At 42.3% G+C, this 23,026-nt stretch overlaps 1 long non-coding RNA gene and 1 pseudogene across 1 annotated transcript, besides 2 other annotated features; both read right to left on the reverse strand.

Moving 5' to 3' along the window:
- Positions 1-143: 143 nt before the first annotated feature.
- LOC124903200 (uncharacterized) lies at positions 144-4,843 on the reverse strand. Its single transcript, XR_007063849.1, has 2 exons — positions 4,727-4,843; positions 144-414 (listed from the first exon to the last, which is right to left on the reverse strand). It is a non-coding gene; the product is annotated as an uncharacterized LOC124903200 (long non-coding RNA).
- Positions 322-822: an enhancer, noted in NCBI's record as "H3K4me1 hESC enhancer chr13:100706176-100706676 (GRCh37/hg19 assembly coordinates)". NCBI's record gives its function as "activates a minimal SCP1, AML or CMV promoter by ChIP-STARR-seq in primed H9 embryonic stem cells {active_cell/tissue: H9 hESC(primed)}" and the evidence as "EXISTENCE:reporter gene assay evidence [ECO:0000049][PMID:30033119]".
- Positions 4,828-5,353: an enhancer, noted in NCBI's record as "OCT4-NANOG-H3K27ac hESC enhancer chr13:100710682-100711207 (GRCh37/hg19 assembly coordinates)". NCBI's record gives its function as "activates a minimal SCP1, AML or CMV promoter by ChIP-STARR-seq in naive and primed H9 embryonic stem cells {active_cell/tissue: H9 hESC(naive and primed)}" and the evidence as "EXISTENCE:reporter gene assay evidence [ECO:0000049][PMID:30033119]".
- ASNSP3 (ASNS pseudogene 3) lies at positions 8,669-10,017 on the reverse strand (annotated as a pseudogene).

Consider the following 23,026-nt stretch of genomic DNA (forward strand, 5'->3'; position numbering starts at 1 on the left):
CTATCATCCAGCATCAACAATTGTCAACTCATGGTCAATCTTGGTCCAGTTAGCTGCCACCCACTGTCCTCAACTCCAGATTATTATGAAGCAAACCCCAGCCATGAAATAATGGTATCTATAAACATTTCAGTATATAACTCTGGAAGAGAAAGCCTTTATTTTTATTCTATTTTATTTTTTGTCTTCTGTACTATCTTTTATTAACATCATAGTCTTTGCATCAGGATACATAACAATGCTAGCAGGTTTTGTTTTAAAGCTTAGTATTAAATATTAAATATATTTCCCAATTTTAATTTAAGAAATTAAAACTCAAGTTATTTGAAGCCTGGACACACTTCCATGATTAGCAGGGCTGTGTAAAAGTTGGTGGCTTTATTTTTCCTCCTGTATAGGCAGATCCAGGTGGCCCTAGAAAGATAGAACCAGATTATATAATTGTATTTTTGTTTTTTGTTTTTGAGATGGAGTTTCAAGTTGCCCAGGCTGGAGTGCAATGGCACGGTCCCAGCTCACTGCAACCTCTGCCACCTGGGTTCAGCGATTCTCCTGCCTCAGCCCTACCCCCCAACAACAGGCATGCACCACCATGCCCATATAATTGTTTTAAAGTGTGCTACAAGGCTGGGTGTGGAGTGGCCTGGTGGCTCACACCTGTAATCCCAGCACTGTGGGAGGCCAAAGTGGGTGGATCACTTGAGGTCAGGAGTTCAAGATCAGCCTGGCCAACATGGCGAAACCCTGTCTCTACTAAAAATATAAAAATTAGCCAGGTGTTGTGGCGCGCGCTTCTATGAGGCAGAAGGATTGCTTGAGCACAGGAGACCGAGGTTGCAGTGAGCTGAGGTTGTGCCAGTGCACTCTAGCCTGGGAAACAGAGTGAGAATCCATCTCAAAAAAAAAAGTGCTACAAAAATGGATGGCCTGGCCAGGCATGGTGGCTCAGGCTGGGCGCAGTGCCTCACGCCTGTAATCCCAGCACTTTGGGAGGCTGAGGCGGGCGGATCACTTGAGGTCAGGAGTTCGAGACCAGCCTGGCCAACATGGTGAAACACTGTCTTTACTAAAAATACAAAAATTAGCCTGATGTCGTGGCAGCAGGTGCCTGTAATCCCAGCTACTCGGGAGGCTGAGGCAGGAAAGTTGCTTGAATCCCGGAAATGGAGGTTGCAGTGAGTCAAGATTATGCCACTGCACTCTAGCCTGGATGACAGAGCGAGACCCCATCTCAAAAAAAAAAAAAAAAAAAAAATTGATGGCCTGTTATAAGCCAGGATACAAAGTAAGGATGTGGGTAAGGGAGGGATCGTTTTCTTCCAGTAAAAAGACAGAATTTTGAACCTGGTGAGGTGGCTCACGCCTGAAATCCCAGCACTTTGGGAGGCAGAGGCGGGCAGATCACGAGGTCAGGAGTTCAAGACCAGCCTGACCAACGTGGTGAAACCCCATCTCTACTAATAATACAAAAATTAGACCGGGCGCGGTGGCTCACGCCTGTAATCCCAGCCCTTTGGGAGGCCAAGACAGGCGGATCACCTAAGGTCAGGAGTTCCAACACCAGACTAGCCAACATGATGAAACCCCGTCTCTACTAAAAATACAAAAAGTTAGCCAGGCGTGATGACAGGTGCCTGTACTCTCAGCTACTCAGGAGGCTGAGGCAAGAGAATCACTTGAACCCAGGAGGCAGAGGTTGCAGTGGGCTGAGATCACACCATTGCACGCCAGCCTGGGCAACAAGAGCAAAACTCTGTCTCAAAAAAAAAAAAAAAGAGGCCGGGAGCGGTGGCTCACACCTGTAATCCCAGCACTTTGGGAGGCCAAGGCTGGCGGATCACAAGGTCAGGAGATCGAGACCATCCTGGCTAACACAGTGAAACCCTGTCTCTACTAAAAATACAAAAAATTAGCCAGGTATGGTGGCAGGCGCCTGTAGTCCCAGCTACTCGGGAGGCTGAGGCAGGAGAATGGCGTGAACCCTGGAGGTGGAGCTTGCAGTGAGCCGAGATCACGCCACTGCACTCCAGCCTGGGCGACAGAACGAGACTCCATCTCAAAAAAAAAAAAAAAAAAAAAAACGAAAATGTATGTGGAGGCTAAAGGAAGATAACAATTTTTTTAATAAGGTCTGTTTGTACAGGATTCTCTCAGTCTCAACCTCCCAGATGATAAGAAAGTTTCTTTTCTCCTGTTACAGGAAGAGCCACTCTCACATGGTAATTTCATCTCTTGTTTTTAAGAAAAAGAAGGGAGATCAGGCCAGGCGTGGTGGCTCACGCCTATAATCCCAGCACCCCAGCACTTTGGGAGGCCAAGGCAGGCGGATTACTTGAGGTCAGGAGTTTGAGACCAGCCTGGCCAACATTGTGAAACCCCATCTCTATTAAAAATACAAAAAATGAGCCGGGTGTTGTGGTGCACACCTGTAATCCTAGCTACTTGGGAGGCTGAGGCAGGAGAATTGCTTGAGCCTGGGAGGTGGAGGTTGCAGTGAGCCAAGATTGTGACACTGCACTCCATCCTAGGTGACAGAGCGAGACTCCATCTCAAAAAAAAAAAAAAAAGAGACATCAGAATGTCCTTGTATCTGCTGTTTGTTGAGTGTTTTTAACTCAAAACAGTCAACATGCCAGCATGGCATATTTTGCAGTGGCATAATCTGAACTCCTTCAGGTGCCAGGAGTACTTATAGCTACTGAGGTATTTTTGTTTCTAGACACTTTAGGTGGACAGAGAAAAGAAATTTTTTTTTGTTTTAATAAAATATATTACAAGTTCATGTTGGTATTATGGTAGTTTTTTTTGTTTTGTTTTTTAAGAAAATTCTGGCAAGGTGGCTCATGCCTGTAATCCCAGCACTATGGGAGGCCAAGGCAGGTAGATCACCTGAGGTCGGGAGTTAGAGACCAACCTGACCAACATGGAGAAACCGTGTCTCTACTAAAAATACAAAAAATTAGCCGGGCATGGTGGTGCATGCCTGTAATCCCAGCTACTCAGGAGGCTGAGGCAGGAGAATCTCTTGAACCCGGGAGGGGGAGGTTGCAGTGAGCTGAGATCAAGCCATTGCACTCCAGCCTGGGGAACAAGAGCGAAACTCTGTCTCGAAAAAAAAAAGAAAAAAAAAAAAAAGAAAATAATTCTCCGTCCCCATCACCTCCCTGAAAAAAGTATACCATCCCTTCCTATTGACATTAGGCTTTGCCATGAGACTTTTTCATGTCATTTATGACAACCATTGACTTGGGGCTTGAATATGTGACTTGCTTTGGCCAATGGTATATTAGCACATATGACTGAAAAGGTTGGTAATGTGCTCGTGCATATGGGCTTGCCCTCTTCTATCTCTGCCATTGCCATGAGAAGAACATGCCACAAATAGCCTATTGCTTTCAGAATAATGAAAGATACATCTTGTAGACCTGAACCAAACGTGCAATCTGGAGCTAAGCCCAGCTGAGTCCAGCCTAAATTGTTCAAATGCCAGTCAACCTGTAGAATGTAGCTTAATGCAGAGGCACAGATATGTGAATGAGAAATAAATGCTTAGGGTTGTGAGTCATTGATGTTTAGAGTGGTTTGTTATGCAGCATAATTAGGTATATAGTGGACTAATACAAATATTTACAAGCTAAATTCAAGATTATAGGAATAATAGAATTGATATCTCACAAAATTATTCATTTGCATTCCAAAATGTGCACCCAGTAGTCTCAGAATAATAATACCAATACTGCTGCTAATAATATGATTATTGAAATCAGCCTAAGCTTTTATTTTTTGCAATTTTTAATCTTTAGGATGTTTCCCTTTATTGATGTACAGTGAAAATTTTCTGTTATGAAGTCATTTGGAATGGTTTTTATGTGTGGTTATGCCACAACTGGATATGCATTAAATACTATTTGTTTGATTTTATTTTGGGGAATTTCCCCTTAAAATTCAATTTTACTTAATGATTATATAAAATGTGTACTTGCTTCCAAAGTCAACTCTCTGAAACAAGTTATTTCAATGAAGTCTACCTTCTATTCTAGCCACTCTCACCTTATTCTTTCCCTCTCCCATAATTAACTACTTAAAAATATTTTATGATTTATTATTTGTTTTAATTGTACCTGGATTTTAATTTATAGAGGTGACTGAGTGATGATGCAGACAGGACAATGCCATTGAAAGAAGCCTTTTTTTTTTTGAGACAGAGTCTCGAACTCCAGCCTAGAGTGCAGTGGCGCAGTCTCGGCTCACTGCAACCTGTGCCTCCTGGGTTCAAGCAATTCTCCTGCCTCAGCCTCCTGAATAGCTGGGACCAAAGGCACGTGCCACCAGGCCCAGCTAATTTTTGTTTTTAGTAGAGATGGGGCTTCACCATGTTGGCCAGGATGGTCTCGATCTCCTGACCTTTTTTTTTTTTTTTTTTTTTTGAGATGGAGTCTCGCTCTGCAGCCCAGGCTGGAGTGCAGTGGCGTGATCTTGGCTCACTGCAACCTCCACCTTCCGGGTTCAAGAGATTCTCCTGCCTTAGCTTCCCAAGTAGCTGGGACTACAGGCGTATGCTACCACGCCTGGCTAATTTTTTATATTTTTAGTAGAGACAGGGTTTCACCATGTTAGCTAAGATGGTCTTGATCTCCTGACCTCGTGATCCCCCCACCTCAGCCTCCCAAAGTGCTGGGATTACAGGCATGAGCCACCGTGCCCTGCAAGAAGTCTTATTACTTACAGTTCCTGAAGAGAAGGGGCCACATCATGACACATAGGGCCATAGAGTGAAGTATCAGGATTGGTCAGGAGGCAGAAGGAGCAAAGGACAGAAGCGCGGCCCAAAGCCTTTATTGTCATTTCTATGGAAAGGAAGGGATGAGGCAGGACACAGGCAAATTTGAGCAAATTTAGGATTATATAGCTTAAAATCATTTCAGTTGGCTCAGGGTTATAGAGGTGGCCTCTGATCGTCTGGCACCTGGCCCTGGGGTGATTTAGAGCAGGGGAAATGTTCACTTGGTGTCTGAGAGTAAGCTAAAGTGGTTGCAAATATGTGCTTTGGTTGGTTGGTTTGCATAAGAAAGGTGAGTCTGCAGGGCGGGTGGCTCTAGCCGGTAATCCCAGCAATTTGGGAGGCCGAGGTGGATGGATCACCTGAGGTCAGGGGTTTGAGCCCAGCCTGACCAACATAGTGAAACCCCATCTCTACTAAAAATACAAAATTAACTGGCCTGTAATCCCAGCTACTTAGGAGGCTCAGGCAGGAGAAATCGCTTGAATCTAGGAGGCGGAAGTTGCAATGAGCCGAGGTCGTGCCACTGCACTCTTAGGCAACAAGGGTGAACTCTGTCAGAAAGAGAGAAAGATAAAGAGAGAGGGAGAGAGAAAAGAGAAAGAGAGCGAGAGAGAGATAAAGGAAAGAAAAAGGAAGGAAAAAGGAAGGGAGGGAGGAAGGAAGGAAGGGAGGAAGGAAGGGAGGGAGTTTACAGGGGAGCCATTTGCTACCTCTAGGAATTAACTAGCCCTGGGAGAGGTAGTCTCTCCCTGGCCAGCAAGGCCCTCAGGATGTCAAGGCATCACAAAATAAAGAAAATTAAAAATATGATTCAGCAGTTTCCAGATAGCTGAGCACAGGGAAGTTCCTGGAAGGTGGTGCACACTGGAGAGGGCATGGAAGCCCCACGTCCCTTCCCACCTACCTTGCTCTATACGTCTCTTCATCTGTACCCTTTGTAATATCCTTCAAGATAAACTTCTAAATACAAACACTGACAAAAATGCTCTCCAATCACAATTGGAATATCAAAGGACAGGTACGGTGGCTCACGCCTGTAATCCCAGCACTTTGGGAGGCCGAGGCGGGCAGATCACCTGAGGTCAGGAGTTCAAGACCAGCCTGGCCAACATGGTAAAACCACGTCTCTACTAAAAATACAAAAAGTATCTGAGTGTGGTGGCAGATGCCTGTAATCCCAGCTACTCGGGAGGCTGAGGCAGGAGAATTGCTAGAATCCGGGAGGCGGAGGTTGCAGTGAGCCATTGCATTCTAGCCTGGGGACAAGAGTGAGACTTCATCTCAAAAAAAAAGAATTGGAATATAAAAATTTAAGCTATAAATACGGTCTTCACTCCTTATTCCAGGAATCTACTTGTTCTGAAAGCTGGACTGGCTTGAATAAGGCTTTATGGCAATTTCTTGGAGGACCTATCAGGATTTCTATAAAAATTCACTCAAAACTGACCAAAACAAGATGTTCAATAAAGGGATCTCATGGTTAAAAAAATAAAATTAAATCAAGCCAAAACAACAACAGTAAAACATGATTCATTCATCCTTCTATGGAGTTTACTTCATGATAATAAATAGTGATAGTTGTAATTTCTTTCTTTCTCTCTCTTTCTCTCTTTTCTTTTCCTTTCTTTCTCCTTCCTTCCTTTCTCTCTTTCTCTCTTCCTTTCTCTTTCTGTCTTTTTTGACGTGGGGTTGGTCTGGCTGTGTTGTCCAGGATGGAGTACATTGTCTTTTCACAGGCACGATCATGGCACAGCACAGTCTCCAATTCCTGGCTGGGTCTACAGGCCCATACCACCATCCCTGGCTTAATTTCTGCTTACAGTGGCACAGTACGCCAACATGTGGCTTTATAATTATACAACCAGTTCCTTACTAAAGGACATTTGTATTGTTTCTGTGTATTTCCATACTTTTCTGATACAAACATCCTGCAATAAATAACTGTGAGCATGTCTTTCTTTTTTAGGTGGGCTAATTTATTTATTTATTTTTGCTTTTAATCAATGCTTTATTTTTTTAAAAAATTTTTTGTTTCTATAGGTTTTTGGGGAGCAGGTGGTGTTTGGGTACATGAGTAGGTTCTTTAGTGGTGATTTGTGAGATTTTGGTGCACCCATCACTCGAGCAGTATCTACAGAACCCAATTTGTAGTCTTTTATCCCTCATCCCCCCACCAACTTTCCCCGAGTCTTCAAAGTTTATTGTATTATTCTTTTGCCTTTGCATCCTCATAGCTTAGCTCCCACTTATGAGTGAGAACATACGATGTTTGGTTTTCCAATCCTGAGTTACTTTACTTAAAATCATAGTCTCCAATCCCAACCAAGTTGCTGCGAATGCCATTAATTCATTCCTTTTTATGGCTGAGTAGTATTCCATCATATATATATATGATGTGATATATATATCACAGTTTCTTTTCTTTCTTTGAGATGGAGTTTCTCTCTTGTTGCCCAGGCTGGAGTGCAATGGTGTAATCTCGGCTCACTGCAGCCTCCGCCTCCCGGGTTAAAGCGATTCTCCTGCCTCAGCCTCCTGAGTAGTTGGGATTATAGGCAAGCGCCACCATGCCTGGCTAATTTTTTGTATTTTTAGTAGAGATAGGGTTTCTTAATATTGGTCAGTCTGGTCTCAAACTCCCAACTTCGGGTGATCCACCCGCCTTGGCCTCCCAAAGTGTTGGCATTACAGGTGTGAGCCACTGCACCCGGCCACATATCACAGTTTCTTTATCCACTTGTTGATTGATGGGTATTTGGTCTGGTTCCACATTTTTGCAATTGTGAATTGTGCTGCTATAAACGTGTGTGCAAGTATCTTTTTCGTGTAATGACTTCTTTTCCTCAGTAATGGGATTGCTGGATCAAATGATAATTCTACTTTTAGTTCTTTAAGGAATCTCTACACTGTTTTCCATAGTGGTCGTACTAGTTTACATTCCCACCAGCAGTGTAGAAGTGTTCCCTTTTCACCACATCCATGCCAACATCTATTATTTTATGATTTTTTGATTATGGCCATTCTTGTGGGAATAAGGTGGTATCACATTGTGGTGTTGATTTGCATTTCCCTGATCATTAGTGATGTTGAGCATTTTTTCATGTTTGTTGGCCATTTGTATATCCTCTTTTGAGAATTGTCTATTCATGTCCTTAGCCCACTTTTTGATGGGATTGTTTGTCTTTTTCTTGCTAATTTGTTTGAGTTCATGTGGATTCTGGATATTATTCCTTTGTCGGATATATAGATTGTGAAGATTTTCTCCCACTCTATGGGTTGTCTGTTTACTTTGCAGATGGTTCCTTTTGCTGTGCAAAAGCTCTTTAGTTTAATTAAGTCCCACCTATTTTTCTTTGTTTTTACTGTATTTGCTTTTGGGTTATTGGTCATGAACTCCTTGCCGAAGCCAATGTCTAGAAGGGTTTTTCTGATGTTATCCTGTAGAATTTTTATAGTTTCAGGTCTTACGTTTAAGTCCTTGATCCATCTTGAGTTGATTTTTATATGAAGTGAGAGATGAGAATCCAGTTTCATTCTCCTATGTGTGGCTTGCCAATTCTCCCAGCACCATTTGTTGAATAGGGTGTCCCTTTTCTGCTTTATGTTTTTGTTTGCTTTGTCGAAGGTGAGTTGGCTGTAAGTATTTGGGTTTATTTCTGGGTTCTCTATTCTGTTCCATTGGTCTATGTGCCTATATTTATACCAATACCATGCTGTTTTGGTGACTGTGGCATTATAGTATAGTTTGAAATCAGGTAATGTGATGCCTCCAGATTTGTTCTTTTTGCTTAGTCTTGCTTTAGCTATGCGAGCTCTTTTTTGGTTCACATGAATTTTAGGGTTGTTTTTTCCTAGTTCTATGAAGAATGATGGTGATATTTTGATGGGAATTGCATTGAATTTGTAGATTGCTGTAATAGCCTTATTTAGTTTTAAGAATACTGAAGGAAAATTTTTGTGTTGCAGTTGCCATCATTATGTCATCAACCTGATGTTCAGTATATTTCTGTAAAACCCTAAAACAGAAATTCTTAACTAAGTTATCCCATCACTGAAGGCTTCTTTTGGCCAGAGAATTTCTTTAGGTATCAGGTATAGTACTCAAATATCTTTATCAGGAGATGTTTTCCTATCCCAGTCTTCAGAATTCTTATTTCTGGTGCCAGAGGCAATAAGAAGAAAACAGATGATCCAGGAATTAGACTCTCAGTTCAAGGTCACAGGCAGCAGCAGTTCAATCTGCACACACTACATAAAACAAAGAGTCCTTCAGAAGCCCCTGACTCTGCTCCTTGGCTTTTTCCTGAGGAGGAGTCTTGTAAAAATATATGTAACCCTGTGTAATTTCATCCGAACGTTCTCTAGAGAAGATCACTATGATATCTGTGTTCTTCCAAATATACTGGGAAATTACAAACCTACCTACTGAAGTGTGAACTATTGTTATGTCTTAAATTTCCAAGGAAAATATTATTTCATCCAGGACCTGAATGCCTTCCTCAGAGTGGTGTTCACTTTCAATATGATTTTCCACCTTTCTAGCAGCCAGTACATTGGGACTGATTTCATGCCAATCGCAAATGTCTAGAGAGTGTCTTACACTTGGGACTCTTTCAGCTGCATCAACAGAATGGCAGCAACGAAGCTGGAATCCAAGCCTTTTCTCTGTCATCAGTCGTTTCTTAATAGCACTGTCAAAAGGAATCCAGAGGTTGCTCTTCACAGTTTCTATCTCAAAACTGTTTCTCCACACTGTTATAGAGGGCATGCAGAGGTTAATCTCTACAGTGATGACTCTCTAGGTAGGTGTTTCTGCCCAGGAATACTTTCTTATTGACAGTATTTAATAAAATAAATGCAAACACTCAGCCCAACATACACATTTTCTGCCCAGTCCCTCCTTTGTCATAAAGATGAAGGATTATGTCACCATCCACTCTGGCCTTGTAATCAAATTCAAAATGGTATTATACCTTCTTGTGGTTGTAAATTTCACCACTGCAACAGAGCCACAAATGAAGATATTTCCTCACTTGAATTGGCTGGATTCCAAACAGCTGGTCAACTACGACCAACTGGTGAAATCCAAAGCAGCAGCTGATGTATCCATTGACATTCTCAGGACGAAATGCATCTGGACCCGTGTGTGATCTTCATAGCACTCGGATGCTGACCAGAGAGGCTATCATTGCTGCCAAAGAGGGCCCAAATGCCACACATGGTACGGTGGAGCTGCGGGTTCTGTGGGTATGTGAGCAGAGGCCAGGGCTGTGGACTGTTTCCATTGTTTACTTTCAGTACAAGCATCTCTGTATATATCTTTATTCCTTTTTTCTTAGATAAATAGTAGCAACTGTACACATTTTTCTTTACCACAATTTTTTTTTTCTCTGAACAATATATCCTGGAAATCACTGCATAGTTATATGCAGAGATTTTCTGCATTCCTTTTTACAGGTATTATAGTACCCTGTTGTGTGGACATTCTGGTACATTTCAAGAGGGAACAACTGTACTAGGAAAGATTCAAAGCATGAGAAACCTGCAAGAAGAAGTCTTTTATTTTAGCCAAGCTGTGGGTAACTTGAGGGTCGCAGAATAGGCTGAGGAGTCAACAGAGAAGATGGCTGAACAATTACACAAGATTGCTGCTGGCCCTATTTAATAAGCCTCATTGTTCTCTAAGGTGAAGCGAAGCTGAAAGGATTTGAGGAAATAAATAGGCTGTTTCCTTTCACCCATTCTTCCTTGTTTTTCCTACTATTATTCTAGTAGGTTTTAAAGTAAAGCCTGGAGTAAGCCTGAGCGCAGCTGTCTCTTATGGGAAAGTGCCCTGATGGGTATCAGGGAAATCCTGCGTTTGACTTTGTGAGACTCTTCGCCTGATGGTCATTGTTTCTCCTCTGACTCCTAGAATCAACTCACTGGGGCGATGAGGGGTGCCCATCAGAAGTCTCTGAATTGAGTCAAAAAACAATTTAACTCCAGAATCCTATTGTATACTGTATCCCCAAATTCACCCTCCAAGCTATTTCCCATCCTGCATTATGCTTCACCATATTGTACAATAAAACTTCCTAAAGAGTGTTTCAATGAGTACTACATAATATCATAGCCAGTAATATAAACATATGCAAAATCCTCAGTGAAGAGAACAAGAATCAGGGCAAATAGAATGTAGATGTTTGTGCTTGGCATGGTGGCTCACGCCTGTAATCCCAGTACTTTGGGAGGCTGAGGCGTGATCAGCCCCCTTCCTCACCTCTCCTCAAAGAGAAGAGTAGCTATGACTGGTGATATTCAGTTGACCTAGTTTCACAGAGGATAGGATCACTCCCTGTAGTTTAAAAGATTACACATGAAGCCTGTACGAGAAACATTTTGAAATAGTCCTGAAAAATCACAAAAGTAGGATTAAACAAAAATAGAAACACATTCCTTGTTTTGAATAGAACCAATCAACGTAATAAAGTCTCTCCAGGTTCATGTATAAATTTAATGTAATCCCAATAAAAATGCCAGCAAATTTTTTTCCTGGCACAGGATCCTACACTTCATATGGAAAAATAAATAAGCAAGAATACTTATGAACATCTTCAAAAGAAAGAACAATAAAAGGGGACTGGTCTTACTACATATTAAAACTTATTATAAAGATTTGATAATTAAAACAGTGTGGTGTTGGTTCCTGCCTAGACATTCAAACCAGTAGGAATAGTTATGAAGCACATAGGGAAATTTAGCATATGACAAAGGTGGGATCTTAAATTATTGGGGAAAAGATTAACTTTTTTATTTTTTAATTTTTTGAGACAGAGTCTCGCTCTGTTGCCCAGGCTGGAGTGCAATAGCACAATCTCGGCTCACTGCAACCTCCGCCTCCTGGATTCAAGTGTTTCTCCCACCTCAGCCTCCCAAGCAGCTGGGAATACAGGTGCGTGCCACCATGCCTGGCAAATTTTTTATTTTTAGTAAAGACGGGTTTCACCATATTGGCCAGGCTGGTCTTGAACTCCTGACCTCAAGTGATTTGCCCGCCTTGGCTTCCCAAAGTGCTGAGATTACAGGCATGAGCCACCATGCCAGGCCAGAAAAGATTCACTTTTAAATAATGACATTAGCACAACTAGAGTTTTTATGTCCCTAATTTACATTAGGACCAGGCACGGGGGCTCATGCCTGTAATCCCAGCTACTTGGGAGGCTGAGGCAGGAGAATCACTTGAAGCCAGGAGGTGGAGGTTGCAGTGAGCCTAGCTCGCGCCATTGCACTCCAGCTGGGGTGACAATAGCGAAATTCCATCTAAAAAAAAAAATTTACATCAGAATGTACTTCAAACAGATCCCTTATTTCAATGCACAAAAAATGAAAACATAACAGGTTCAAGAAGAAAACATATGAATTTCTTTGTAATCTGGACAAAGGAAAGCCTTCTGAATTATAACTAAAATTCCAGAAGCCATGGAGAAAGATTGATAAATTCAAATCTATCCATTTATATCTACAGCTGTATCTATCTATATATGCACAAACATATATATATATATATGCATAGACTTTTTTTTGAGATGGAGGCTGGAGTGCAGTGGTGCAATCTTGGCTCACTGCAACCTCTTCCTTCCGGGTTCAAGTGATTCTCCTGCCTCAACCTCTTGAATAGCTGGGATTACAGGTGCCCACCACCGTGCTGGCTAATTTTTGTATTTTTAGTAGAGACAGCGTTTCGTCATGTTGTCCAGGCTGGTCTTGAACTCCTGACCTCAGGTGATCTGCCCGCCTTGGCCTCCCAAAGTGCTGGGATTACAGGCGTGAGCCACTGCACCCGGCTGATACGTGGATAGACTTTTGCTTGGCAAAAACATCATAAACAAAATCAAAAGAGATGAAAAAAATGGGAGAAAATATTTGTAGTTTAAATTACACAAAATAGCTAATTTCCATCATAGATAAATAAGTAAAAAAAAAGAAGAGTATTGATGCATGATACATGGAAGAACCTCCAAAATATTATGCTAAGTGAAAGAGTCAGTCACAAGTCTACATATTGTATGATACAATTTATATGAAATGTCCAGAATAGACAAATCTATAGAGATAGAGTAGACTGGTGGTCACATAGGGCTGGATAGGGTAGGGGCAAGGGGCAGGAATGGAGATGACTACTGAGAGGTAAGGGGTTTCTTTTTGGAATGTTGAAAATGTTCCAAAATTATACTATAGCAATGGTTGCATAGCTCCATAAATATACTAAAAACCATTGAATTCTATACTTTAAACGGATGAACTTAATGGTATGTATATCTCAATAAACCGGGCACAGTGGCTCACGCCTGTAATCCCAGCACTTTTGGAGGCCAAGGTGGGCGGATCACGAGATCAGGAGTTCAAGACCAGCCTGACCAACATGGTGAAACCCGTCTCTAGTAAAAATACAAAAACTAGCCAGCCATGGTGGCGCGTGCCTGTAGTCCCAACTACTCAGGAGGCTGAGGCAGGAGAACTGCTTGAACCCGGGAGGCAGAGGTTGCAGTGAGCTGAGACCATGCCACTGCACTCCAGCCTGGGCTACAGACTGAGACTCCATCAAAAAAAAAATCTATCTATATATATTTGTATGTATGTGTGTGTGTGTGTGTATATATATATATATATATATATATATATCTCAATAAAGCTGTTTAAGTATAAAAGATTTTACTGTTCAAGAAGCTGGGTGTGGTGGCTCATGCCTGTAATCCCTGGACTTCGGAAGGTAGAGGCAGGTGGATCACTTGAGGTCAGGAGTTTGAGACCAGCCTGGCCAAAACAGTGAAACCCTGTCTCTACTAAAAATACAAAAATTATCTGGGCATGGTGGTGGGTGCCTGTAGTCCCAGCTACTTGGGAGGCTGAGGCAGGAGAATCGCTTGAACCTCAGAGACAGAGGTTGCAGGGAATGGAGATCACACCACTGCACTCCAGCCTGGGCAACAGAGACAGTCTCAAAAAAAAAAAAAAAAAAGGTTTTTGAAGTAAAATCCTAGTAGGAAAATGGCCCAAACTGTTAAGAGACAGTTCACAGATGATTAAAGGCAAATGTCTGTGAAGTACTTGGAAAAATACTCAGCATCACTTCTTATAAAAGAAATGCAAATTAAAATATGGTCAGCCCTTGGCATCCATGGATTCCACATTTGTAAATTCAATCAACCATGGATAGAAATGACAGTCATGTATTGCTTAATGATGGGGATACATTCTCCAAAATGTGTTGTTAGGCGGCCAGGTGCGGTGGGTCACGCCTATAATCCCAGCACTTTGGGAGGCCAAGGCAGGCGGATCACCTGAGGTCAGGAGTTCTAGACCAGCCTGGCCAACATGGTGAAACACCATCTCTACTAAAAATACAAAAAAAAATTAGCCAGGCATGGTCACAAACTCCTGTAATCCCAGCTATTCGGGAGGCTGAGGCAGGAGAATCGCTTGAACCCGGGAGGTGAATGTTGCAGTGAGCTGAGATCACACCATTGCACTCCAGCCTGGGGGCAAGAGCAAGACTTCATCTCAAAAAAAAAAAAAAAGTGTTGTTAGGCGATTTCACCATTGTGCGAACATCATAGAGTGTACTTACACAAACCTAGATGGTATAGCTTACTACACACATAGGCTATATGGTATAGCCACCATTGTATATGTAGTCAGCTGTTGACTAAAACTTCCTTATGGGTGCATGACTGTATTTGAAAAAAAAATTGTTTGTATTGAATATGTACAGACTTATTTTTCTTATTAGTATTCCCTAAATAATAGAGTATATCAATCATTTGCATAGCATTTATATTGTATTAGGTATTATAAGTAATCTAGAGATTATTTAAAGTATACTGGAGTATGTGCATAGGTTATATGCAAATATTACCACATTTTACATAAAGGACCTGAGCATTCATGGATTTTGGTATTCACAGGAGGTACTGGACAGCGTATATTCAAATACTGTTCTTCCCTTATCAGATTGGCAGTGTTGAGAGACAATCCTTCATGGTGTTTCTATACGTCTTGTGACAGCTTCTGTTCTCAATGTCTTTTGTGCTGCAAACATTCTGGAAGGACAGAGGGTAGATTCCTCTCCTGACCAAGACAATAAAAACAACATTTTCCTCCAGGTCAAAGGTTAGGTAGGTTTTTAGTAGCTCCTTATAAGACTGGGGGTTTCCTAATTTCAGTGTTCTTTAGCTCTGACACAAGCCCACCAGGGCAAGGCATCCACCTTGCAAGGAGGGCAAAAATCTCAGACACCTCACAGTTCTTAGGCAGAAGTACAAAAGCTTGACAACATACGCTGTTGGTAAGCCTGGGGAGAAACAGGTATTTCCACACATTGCTGTTGGGATTGCAAAATGGCACAACTCCCCTGGAAGGAAATCTGGCAATATTTAACAAAATTACATGTTCATCTACTCTTTGATTCAGTGACTCTTCTAGAAATCTAGCTGATACACCTCCACAAATGCAAACTATGATGTACAGATATGATATGCAAATGCAAAATAAGATATGCTATACAGATATGCTATTTGCAATAGGAATGGCTTGAAAACCAGTACAACTACCCATGAATAGGAGACTGATTGAATAAACTAGGGCACATCTACACGCACACACATATTTATGCATATGTATTTTTTCAAAGAAATAATAAACAAGAAATTGTTGAAAATGGAAATGGCTACTTCTGAACAATGGGTGAGATGGGAATAGGGAACAGGGTGAGAGCAAGAACTCTTGGAGTATCTTTCTTTATACAGTTTTAACTTTTCAATCATGTAAATTACTCATATATTCAAAAACCAAAATTAAGTCAAATGGGAAAAAATCAAATTAAACACAAACAGAAACAATTGAACACAAACAGAAACAAATGAACAGACCTGAATATAAAACCTAATCACACAGGGGAAATGATTACTTCAAATAACTTTAGAACATAGAACACTGGCAGTAACATTTTCCAGACACACATTGTAAGGACAAATAAAACTATGTTTTCTGATTTCCATTGTGTGCATGTTCCTGTAGACTGATTTCAAGTCACCAGTGGTTTCACAACTATCTGGCAAGATTCCTGACAATTTAGCAATTGATTCTCATAAGCCGGTTCTATCTGGCTCTAAGAAATCATTGCTTATAGGTACTCTAGTCAAGGTAACAAGCTGTCTGTCAACAAAGCAAAGCATAAATCAAAAAAGATGAAAGAAAATATCTAGAAAAATTATGAAAAGCCTCCATGCAGATTGAAGTGTGACAAACACATAGCTCCAGCTCCTTATCTTCCATGGTCCTCAGGTCTTGGGCTGTCTTCATGCAGTCGTTAGCTTGTTCCTATGGTCTTCAGTGGAAGTTGTCCCCTTCCTGCAGTTTTCTGCTTCTGGATGATTCCTCAGTATTCTCCATTTGAGGTCTCTGATAGCAATGTCCTCCTGATTCAAGAATGGCTAATTTCTCCTTGGTCAAGAAACAGGGATATAGCTGGGCACAGTGGCTCATGACTGTAATCTCAGCACTTTGGGATGCTGACGTGGGAGGATATCTTGAGGGATTGAGGGCAGGTGTTTGAGACCAGCCTGGGCAACATGGCAAGACCCCATCTCTTAAAAAAAAAAAAAATTAGCTGGGTGTGGTGGCGCATGCCTGTAGTCCCAGCTACTTGGAGGCTGAGGTGGGTCATTTGAACTGGGGCGTTTGAGTTTACAGTGAGCTATGATTGCATCGCTGCACTCCAACCTGGGTGACAAAGACCCTGTCTTAAAAAAAGGAAGAAAGAAAGAAGGATGCAAGGATCAATACCCTAGAGTTCAATTGCTGTGTTATTTGTTAGTTAGTGCCTACAAGGTCCTTTCCACTGAGGTAAAGGGCAGTCTTTTTCTGATGTGTCCTTCAGCAGATGAAGCCTCTACATTTTAAATTGTCAATGGTTTTTGTTTTTGTTTTTTTAGATGCAGTTTTGCTATGTTGCCCAGGCTGGAGTGCAGAGTGCAGTAGTAGGATCATAGCACTCTAGCAAGATCCAGTAGCAGGATCATAGCACACAAACTTCCAGCCTCAAGCGATCCTCCCATCTCAGCCTCCCCAGTTGCTGGGACTACAGGTGGGTGCCACCATTCCCTACTAATTTTTTGTTTTTTAAAAATTGTTTGTACACACCATGTCTTGCTATGTTGCCCAGGTTGGTCTCAAACTTCTGGCCTCAAGTGGTTCTCCTGCTTCAGTCTTCCAAAGTGTGGGGATTATAGGTGTGAGCTACTGTTCCTGGCCTGGGATTGTTTTGAGGGATATTTTTGAAAAGGTATTCATATTTCTTGATAAAACAAATAGTTGTTGATATGAGTGTATCAATTCCACTTATGTGAAGTACCTAGAGTAGCCAAATTCATAGTGAGAGAAAGTAGATGGTGGTTGCAAGAGGCTGGGAGAAGGAGGAAAATGAGGGGTTAGTGTTTAATGGATAGAGTTTCAGTTTTGCAAGATGAAAAAAGTTTGGGATGGATAGTGGTGATAGGGGCACAACAGCGTGAATGTACTTAATGCCACTGGACCATACACTGAAAGATGGTTAAAATGCTAAATTTTGTTATGCCTATTTTACCTCAGTTTTTACAAAACCAAGCGTATCACCCCAGTCATAGGCAATATTGGCTATATCAGCTCGTAATAAGACAGTCTATAATGGGAGCAACATTCCCAGGCAGATAAGATGACTAAGTATCAGTTAATAGGTTGAGAATCAATGGGCTAGGCCAGGCACTGTGGCTCACGCTTGTAATCCCAATGCTTTGGAAGGCCAAGAGAGGGAGATCACTTGAGGCCAGGATTTTGAGAGTTAATGGGCTACCTATGGAGTTGACTTCACTGTCATTAAGAGAAAAGGCAATAGTTTGGGTCAAGGAAGTTCAAGCGTTTCTGAAAGTTTAACTGGAGTTTGAGAATTCTATTTGTCCTTTCTATATTACTTGAGATTTGGGAAATTCTGAATAATACAAAGAATGATTGCAACTCATTGAGCAAATAAAAAGCTGAGGCCACAGTGGGGTGTGTGTGTGTGTGTGTGCGCATGTGTGTGTGTGTGTGCGACAGAGAGAGACAGATGGGAGAGTAAAAAAGAAAATGTCTTCTTTACAGGATGTTAGCTAACGAATATAGAAGAAATGACAGAATTAGGGCCAGGTGCGGTGGCTCATGCCTGTAATCCCAGCACTTTGGGAGGCCGAGGCGGATGGATCTCCTGAGGTCAGGAGTTCAAGACTAGCCTGGCCAAAATGGCGAAACCCCGTCTCGACTAAAAATACAAAAATTAGCCAGGCATGGTGGCATGCATTGTAATCCCAGCTACTTGGGAGGCTGAAGCAGGAAAATCGCTTGAACCTGGAAGGCAGAGGTTGCAGTGAGCTGGGATCACGCCACTGCACTCCAGCCTGGGTGACAAGAGCGAAACTCTGTCTCAAAAAAAAAAAAAAAAAAAAAAGAATGAACAGGGATGAAAAAATACAAGTGTTGGCCGGCGTGGTGGCTCATGCCTGTAATCCCAGCACTTTGGGAGGCCGAGGAGGGCGGATCACCTGAGGTCAGGAGTTCGAGACCAGCCTGGTCAACATGGTGAAACCCTGTCTGTACTAAAAATACAAAAATTAGCTGGGCATGGTGGCATGTGCCTGTAATCCCAGCTACTCGAGAGGCTGAGGCAGGAGAATCACTTGAACCTGGGAGGCGGAGGTTGCAGTGAGCCGAGATCGCGCCATTGCACTCCAGCCTGGGTGACAGAGAGAGACTCAGTCTCAAAAAACAAAACAAAACAAAACAAAACAAAAAACCAAAAAAAAAACAAAAAAACAAGTGTCTACATCAGAGTAAAGTACGGGACGTGGCAAAGTGAGCTGCCCTTATACAGTGTAAATGCTATCTAAATAGTTATTATACTGTATCCCTGTATTGTTGAGCATCCCTGTATTGTTAAATCTTTTGATTTCTCATGAGAAGTAGAAAAGTTAAAATTTTATGTGAAAGCTGCCATATTTTGGATATATATGTAGTTAACTAATTCAAATTTGCACACACATGTCCACACACACAAACTGAACATAGCCTTATGCCACATGTGGCCCCCCTTTTGCCTCAGTGTGATCTCTGGCCTCTTAGATAAAAACTCCAAACTCTTTAGAACAGTATTCACTTTCTTTAGGACCTGGCCCTCGCCTATTCCTAAAGACTTGTCTCTAGTATTTTCTCCAGTTGCGTGGTACCATTTGTAACTTGGCAATGCATGTGGCTAGCTTCACGCCTTGCTATGTGGCATGTGGTATTCTCTTTTCACCCAGAATGTCCATCTACCTATGTTTGTTTTTGTTTGTTTGTTTGTTTGCTTGCTTTGAAACAAGGTCTTGCTCTGTTGCCTGGGCAGGAGTGCAGTGGTGTGATCATAGTTCACTGCAGCCCCTATCTACTGGGCTCAAGTGATCCTCCCATCTCAGCCTCTCAAGTCGCTGTGTACTTGGTACAGGTGCGTACCATCATGCTTGGCTAAATTTTTTATTTTTTATTTGTAGAGACAAGGGGTCTCCTTTTGTTACCAAGTCTGGTCTAGAACTTTTGGGCTCACGGGATCCTCCCACCTCGACCTCCCAAAGTACTGGGATTACAGGTGTGAGCCACCTCATCTGGCCTATCTATCTTTTGACTACTTTTTAAGATCCAGCACAAGTGTCTCCTGTTCTGTAGAAGTCTTCCCTGACTCACATGTACATACTGATTACTTTATTTTGTTGCTGCTAAACAGCATAATTTTTATTTTTACTTAAATTGTGTTAATATTGTGATTGAAATATACAGAGAAACATAGAATAATGTAATAACTGTGTACCTACCAATGAGCTCCATTAATTCCTGACACTTTTCCATTCTAACCTCAAGTCTTTTTTTTTTTTTTTTTTTTTTTGAGAAAAAATATTGAAAGCTGCAATTGCAGCCACCTGAAGAGAGGTGGTTTAGCATAGTGGAGTATATGTGCTCTGAACGCCCACTGCCTAGGTTCATCATCCCTGCCCTGTCACTTACTAGCTGTTCACCTTCAGCAAATTGTTTAACCAGCTCATCTGTAAGAGGGGATAATAATAGTATCCATCTTACAGAATTGTGAGGATTAAGAATACATTCAGGTCACTTAGAACGGCCAGTTTCTGGAATAGAGTAAGCATTCAATAAACATTAATAATTAGTATTTTGTCTACTCCTCCTTTATTTATTTATTTATTTATTTTTGAGACTGAGTCTCGCTCAGCCACCCAGGCTGGAGTGCAGTGGCGTGATCTCAGCTCACTGCAACCACCGTCTCCTGGGTTCAAGCGATTCTCCTGTCTCAGCCTCCTGAGTAGCTGGGATTACAGGCACCCGACATCATGCCTGGCTAATTTTTGTATTTTTAGTAGAGATGGGTTTTCACCACGTTGGCCAGGCTGCTCTCGAACTCCTGACCTCAGGTGATCTGCCCACCTTGGACTTCCAAAGTGCTGGGATTTCAGGTGTGAGCCACCATGCCCAAGCCTACTCCTCCTTTTCATCTGAGCAAGAAATAGACTATTTGTAGCTCTTTTAATCTTTTAGGGTACAAACAATCAAGTTTATCCTTTTGCTTGCTTACTCTTTCTAATAAGTGTAGATTAAGGATAAACTTTCCTAAATAACAGTATTTACAAATGTTACTTGTTCTCTCAATGCAGATATGAGTTAAGGGAATCTTGGCATATTTTCTCAAGATCAGTGTTCATAAACTACTACCTGAATTGTTTCTGTGAGAAGAAATGTTACACAGAGATGCCAGGGGACTCAACCATATTCAAGAATTTCCCCAAGATCTTCCATGATTGTTGGGTTCAAATTCTTGGGCCAATAAATTGTTGCCAGGATGAGAAGGTTACTTGACACAAAGAATGGCTACTTAAAGCTTAAGGAATCTCCTGTGGCTGCTATACTGAGAAAAAGTTATGGGCATGGCAGGCGCTCCATAGGCTGTTTAGAAGTGGGCTTCCGTAGAGTGGTACACAACTTGATGCTTAAAATTTGTTTTCAGGATGCTGCTTCGGACTCTTAGGATAAATTTTAAACTCTTTGAGAAAGGGACCGCACCTTTGTATTTCTATTACACTAACTGGAACAAAAGAACTCAATAAATTCTTTTTTTTTTTTGAGATGGAGTCTCGCTCTGTCGCCCAGGCTGGACTGCAGTGGCGTGATCTCGGCTCACTGCAAGCTTCGCCTCCCGGGTTCACGCCATTCTCCTGCCTCAGCCTCCCGAGTAGCTGGGACTACAGCCGCCAGCTACCATGCCCGGCTAATTTTTTTGTATTTTTAGTAGAGACGGGGTTTCACTGTGTTAGCCAGGTTGGTCTCAATCTCCTGACCTCGTGATCCAACCACCTCGGCCTCCCAAAGTGCTGGGATTACAGGCGTGAGCCACCGTGCCCGGTCTTGTGTTTTTTTTTTTGTTTTTGGTTTTTGAGATGGAGTTTCGCTTTTGTTGCCCAGGCTGGAATGCAATGGCGTGATCTTGGGTCACCGCAACCTTTGCCTCCTGGGTTCAAGTGATTCTCCTGCTTCACCCTCCCGAGTAGCTGGGATTACAGGCATATGCCACCATGCCCTGCTAATTTTGTATTTTTAGTAGAGACGGGGTTTCACCATGTTGGTCAGGCTGGTCTTGAACTCCTGACCTCAGGTGATCCACCCACCTCGGCCTCCCAAGTGCTGGGATTACAGGTGTAAGCCACCGTGCCTGGCCTAATAAATTCTTATTGAATGAAGAGAGCTCTCTGGTAATTAGTAATAATAAATGTCTACCATTTATAATTTAGGGTAGCAAGGTAATATCATTCATTTGTAGGCATCTGTATCAGCAAACAAGAGGAATCTAGCTAGTTTAAATATGAATGGAATTTATTAAAGAACATTGACTCAGCTGGGTGTAGTGGCTCCTGCCTGTAATGCCAGTACTTTGGGAGGCTGAGGCCAGTGCAGTGCTTGAGTCCAGGAGTTGGAGACCAGCCTGGACAATATGGCGAAACCTGTCTCTACAAAAATTACAAAAATTAGTCAGGCGTGTTGGTGCATGCCTGTAGTCCCAGCTACTTGGGGGGCTGAGGTGGGAGGATCACTTGAGTCCGGGAGGCCGACGGTGCAGTGAGCTGAGATCGTGCCACTGCACTCCAGCATGGGTGACAGAGCAAGACCCTGTCTCAAAAATAAATAAATTAAGAACATTAATGCACAAGATCTTCAAAGGGCCTAAGAATCAATCTGTAAGTTACACAGCCAGGAAAAAATACCCCACTGCTCCTCCAAGCCCATAGCAAAGACCTCACTGTCATCAGGGCTTGGCATGGACACTGCAGTGGGTACTTGATGCCAGAACCTCTGTCGTTGGTGCTCCTAACAGCTGGAAGCCTCTACTGCTACCCTCACCAGGAAATGGATTCTGTGTTGCAACTGCTTCACCACATTGCTCTCTTGAATCAAGGTCTCTTTCAGACACAGCTACTAGTGCAGCTAGGTCATCTGCCTGCACCAAAACTCCAAGTAAGGAAGACAAAGCAAATTTCTGGCCCTGTCTTTGGAAGAACTCATCACATGGGAAATTTGCCAACATGAGAAAGGTTTTCAGATGATGGTGGATGCCCATAAAACATGACACACATCTTTGACGGCAGCATGATGCAAGTGTTTCTGCAGGCCAGTATCAAACCTCAAAGTGCTGGTTATGGGTCCTTGCTGGAATAACTACAGAAACTGAGGGTAGCATTTCTCTTATTGTAGCTCTAAGAAATACTCAGAAGATAGATGTTCTTATTTAATCACAGAATTATCACAGAGGGTTGGCAGATTGGCACTGTTTCCGGGATTACACTTAGCGTAGTGTTACTCCAGAGCAGAGTAACCCTTGGCCAAATCTGGCCAGTCCTCTGTTTTTATAAGGCCTGCAAAACTACAGTTTTTTTTTCTACATGATTAAAGAGTTGCTAAAGAACAAACAAACGGCCGGGCGCAGTGGCTCACACCTGTAATCCCAGCACTATGGGAGGCTGAGGCGGGTGGATCACGAGGTCAGGAGATTGAGACCATTCTGGCTAACACAGTGGAATCCTGTCTCTACTAAAAATACAAAAAATTAGCCAGGCGTGGTGGCGGACACCTGTAGTCCCAGCTACTCTGGAGGCTGAG

The sequence above is a fragment of the Homo sapiens genome, chromosome 13 (genome assembly GCF_000001405.40).
Source record: "Homo sapiens chromosome 13, GRCh38.p14 Primary Assembly".
Taxonomy (NCBI): domain Eukaryota; kingdom Metazoa; phylum Chordata; class Mammalia; order Primates; family Hominidae; genus Homo; species Homo sapiens.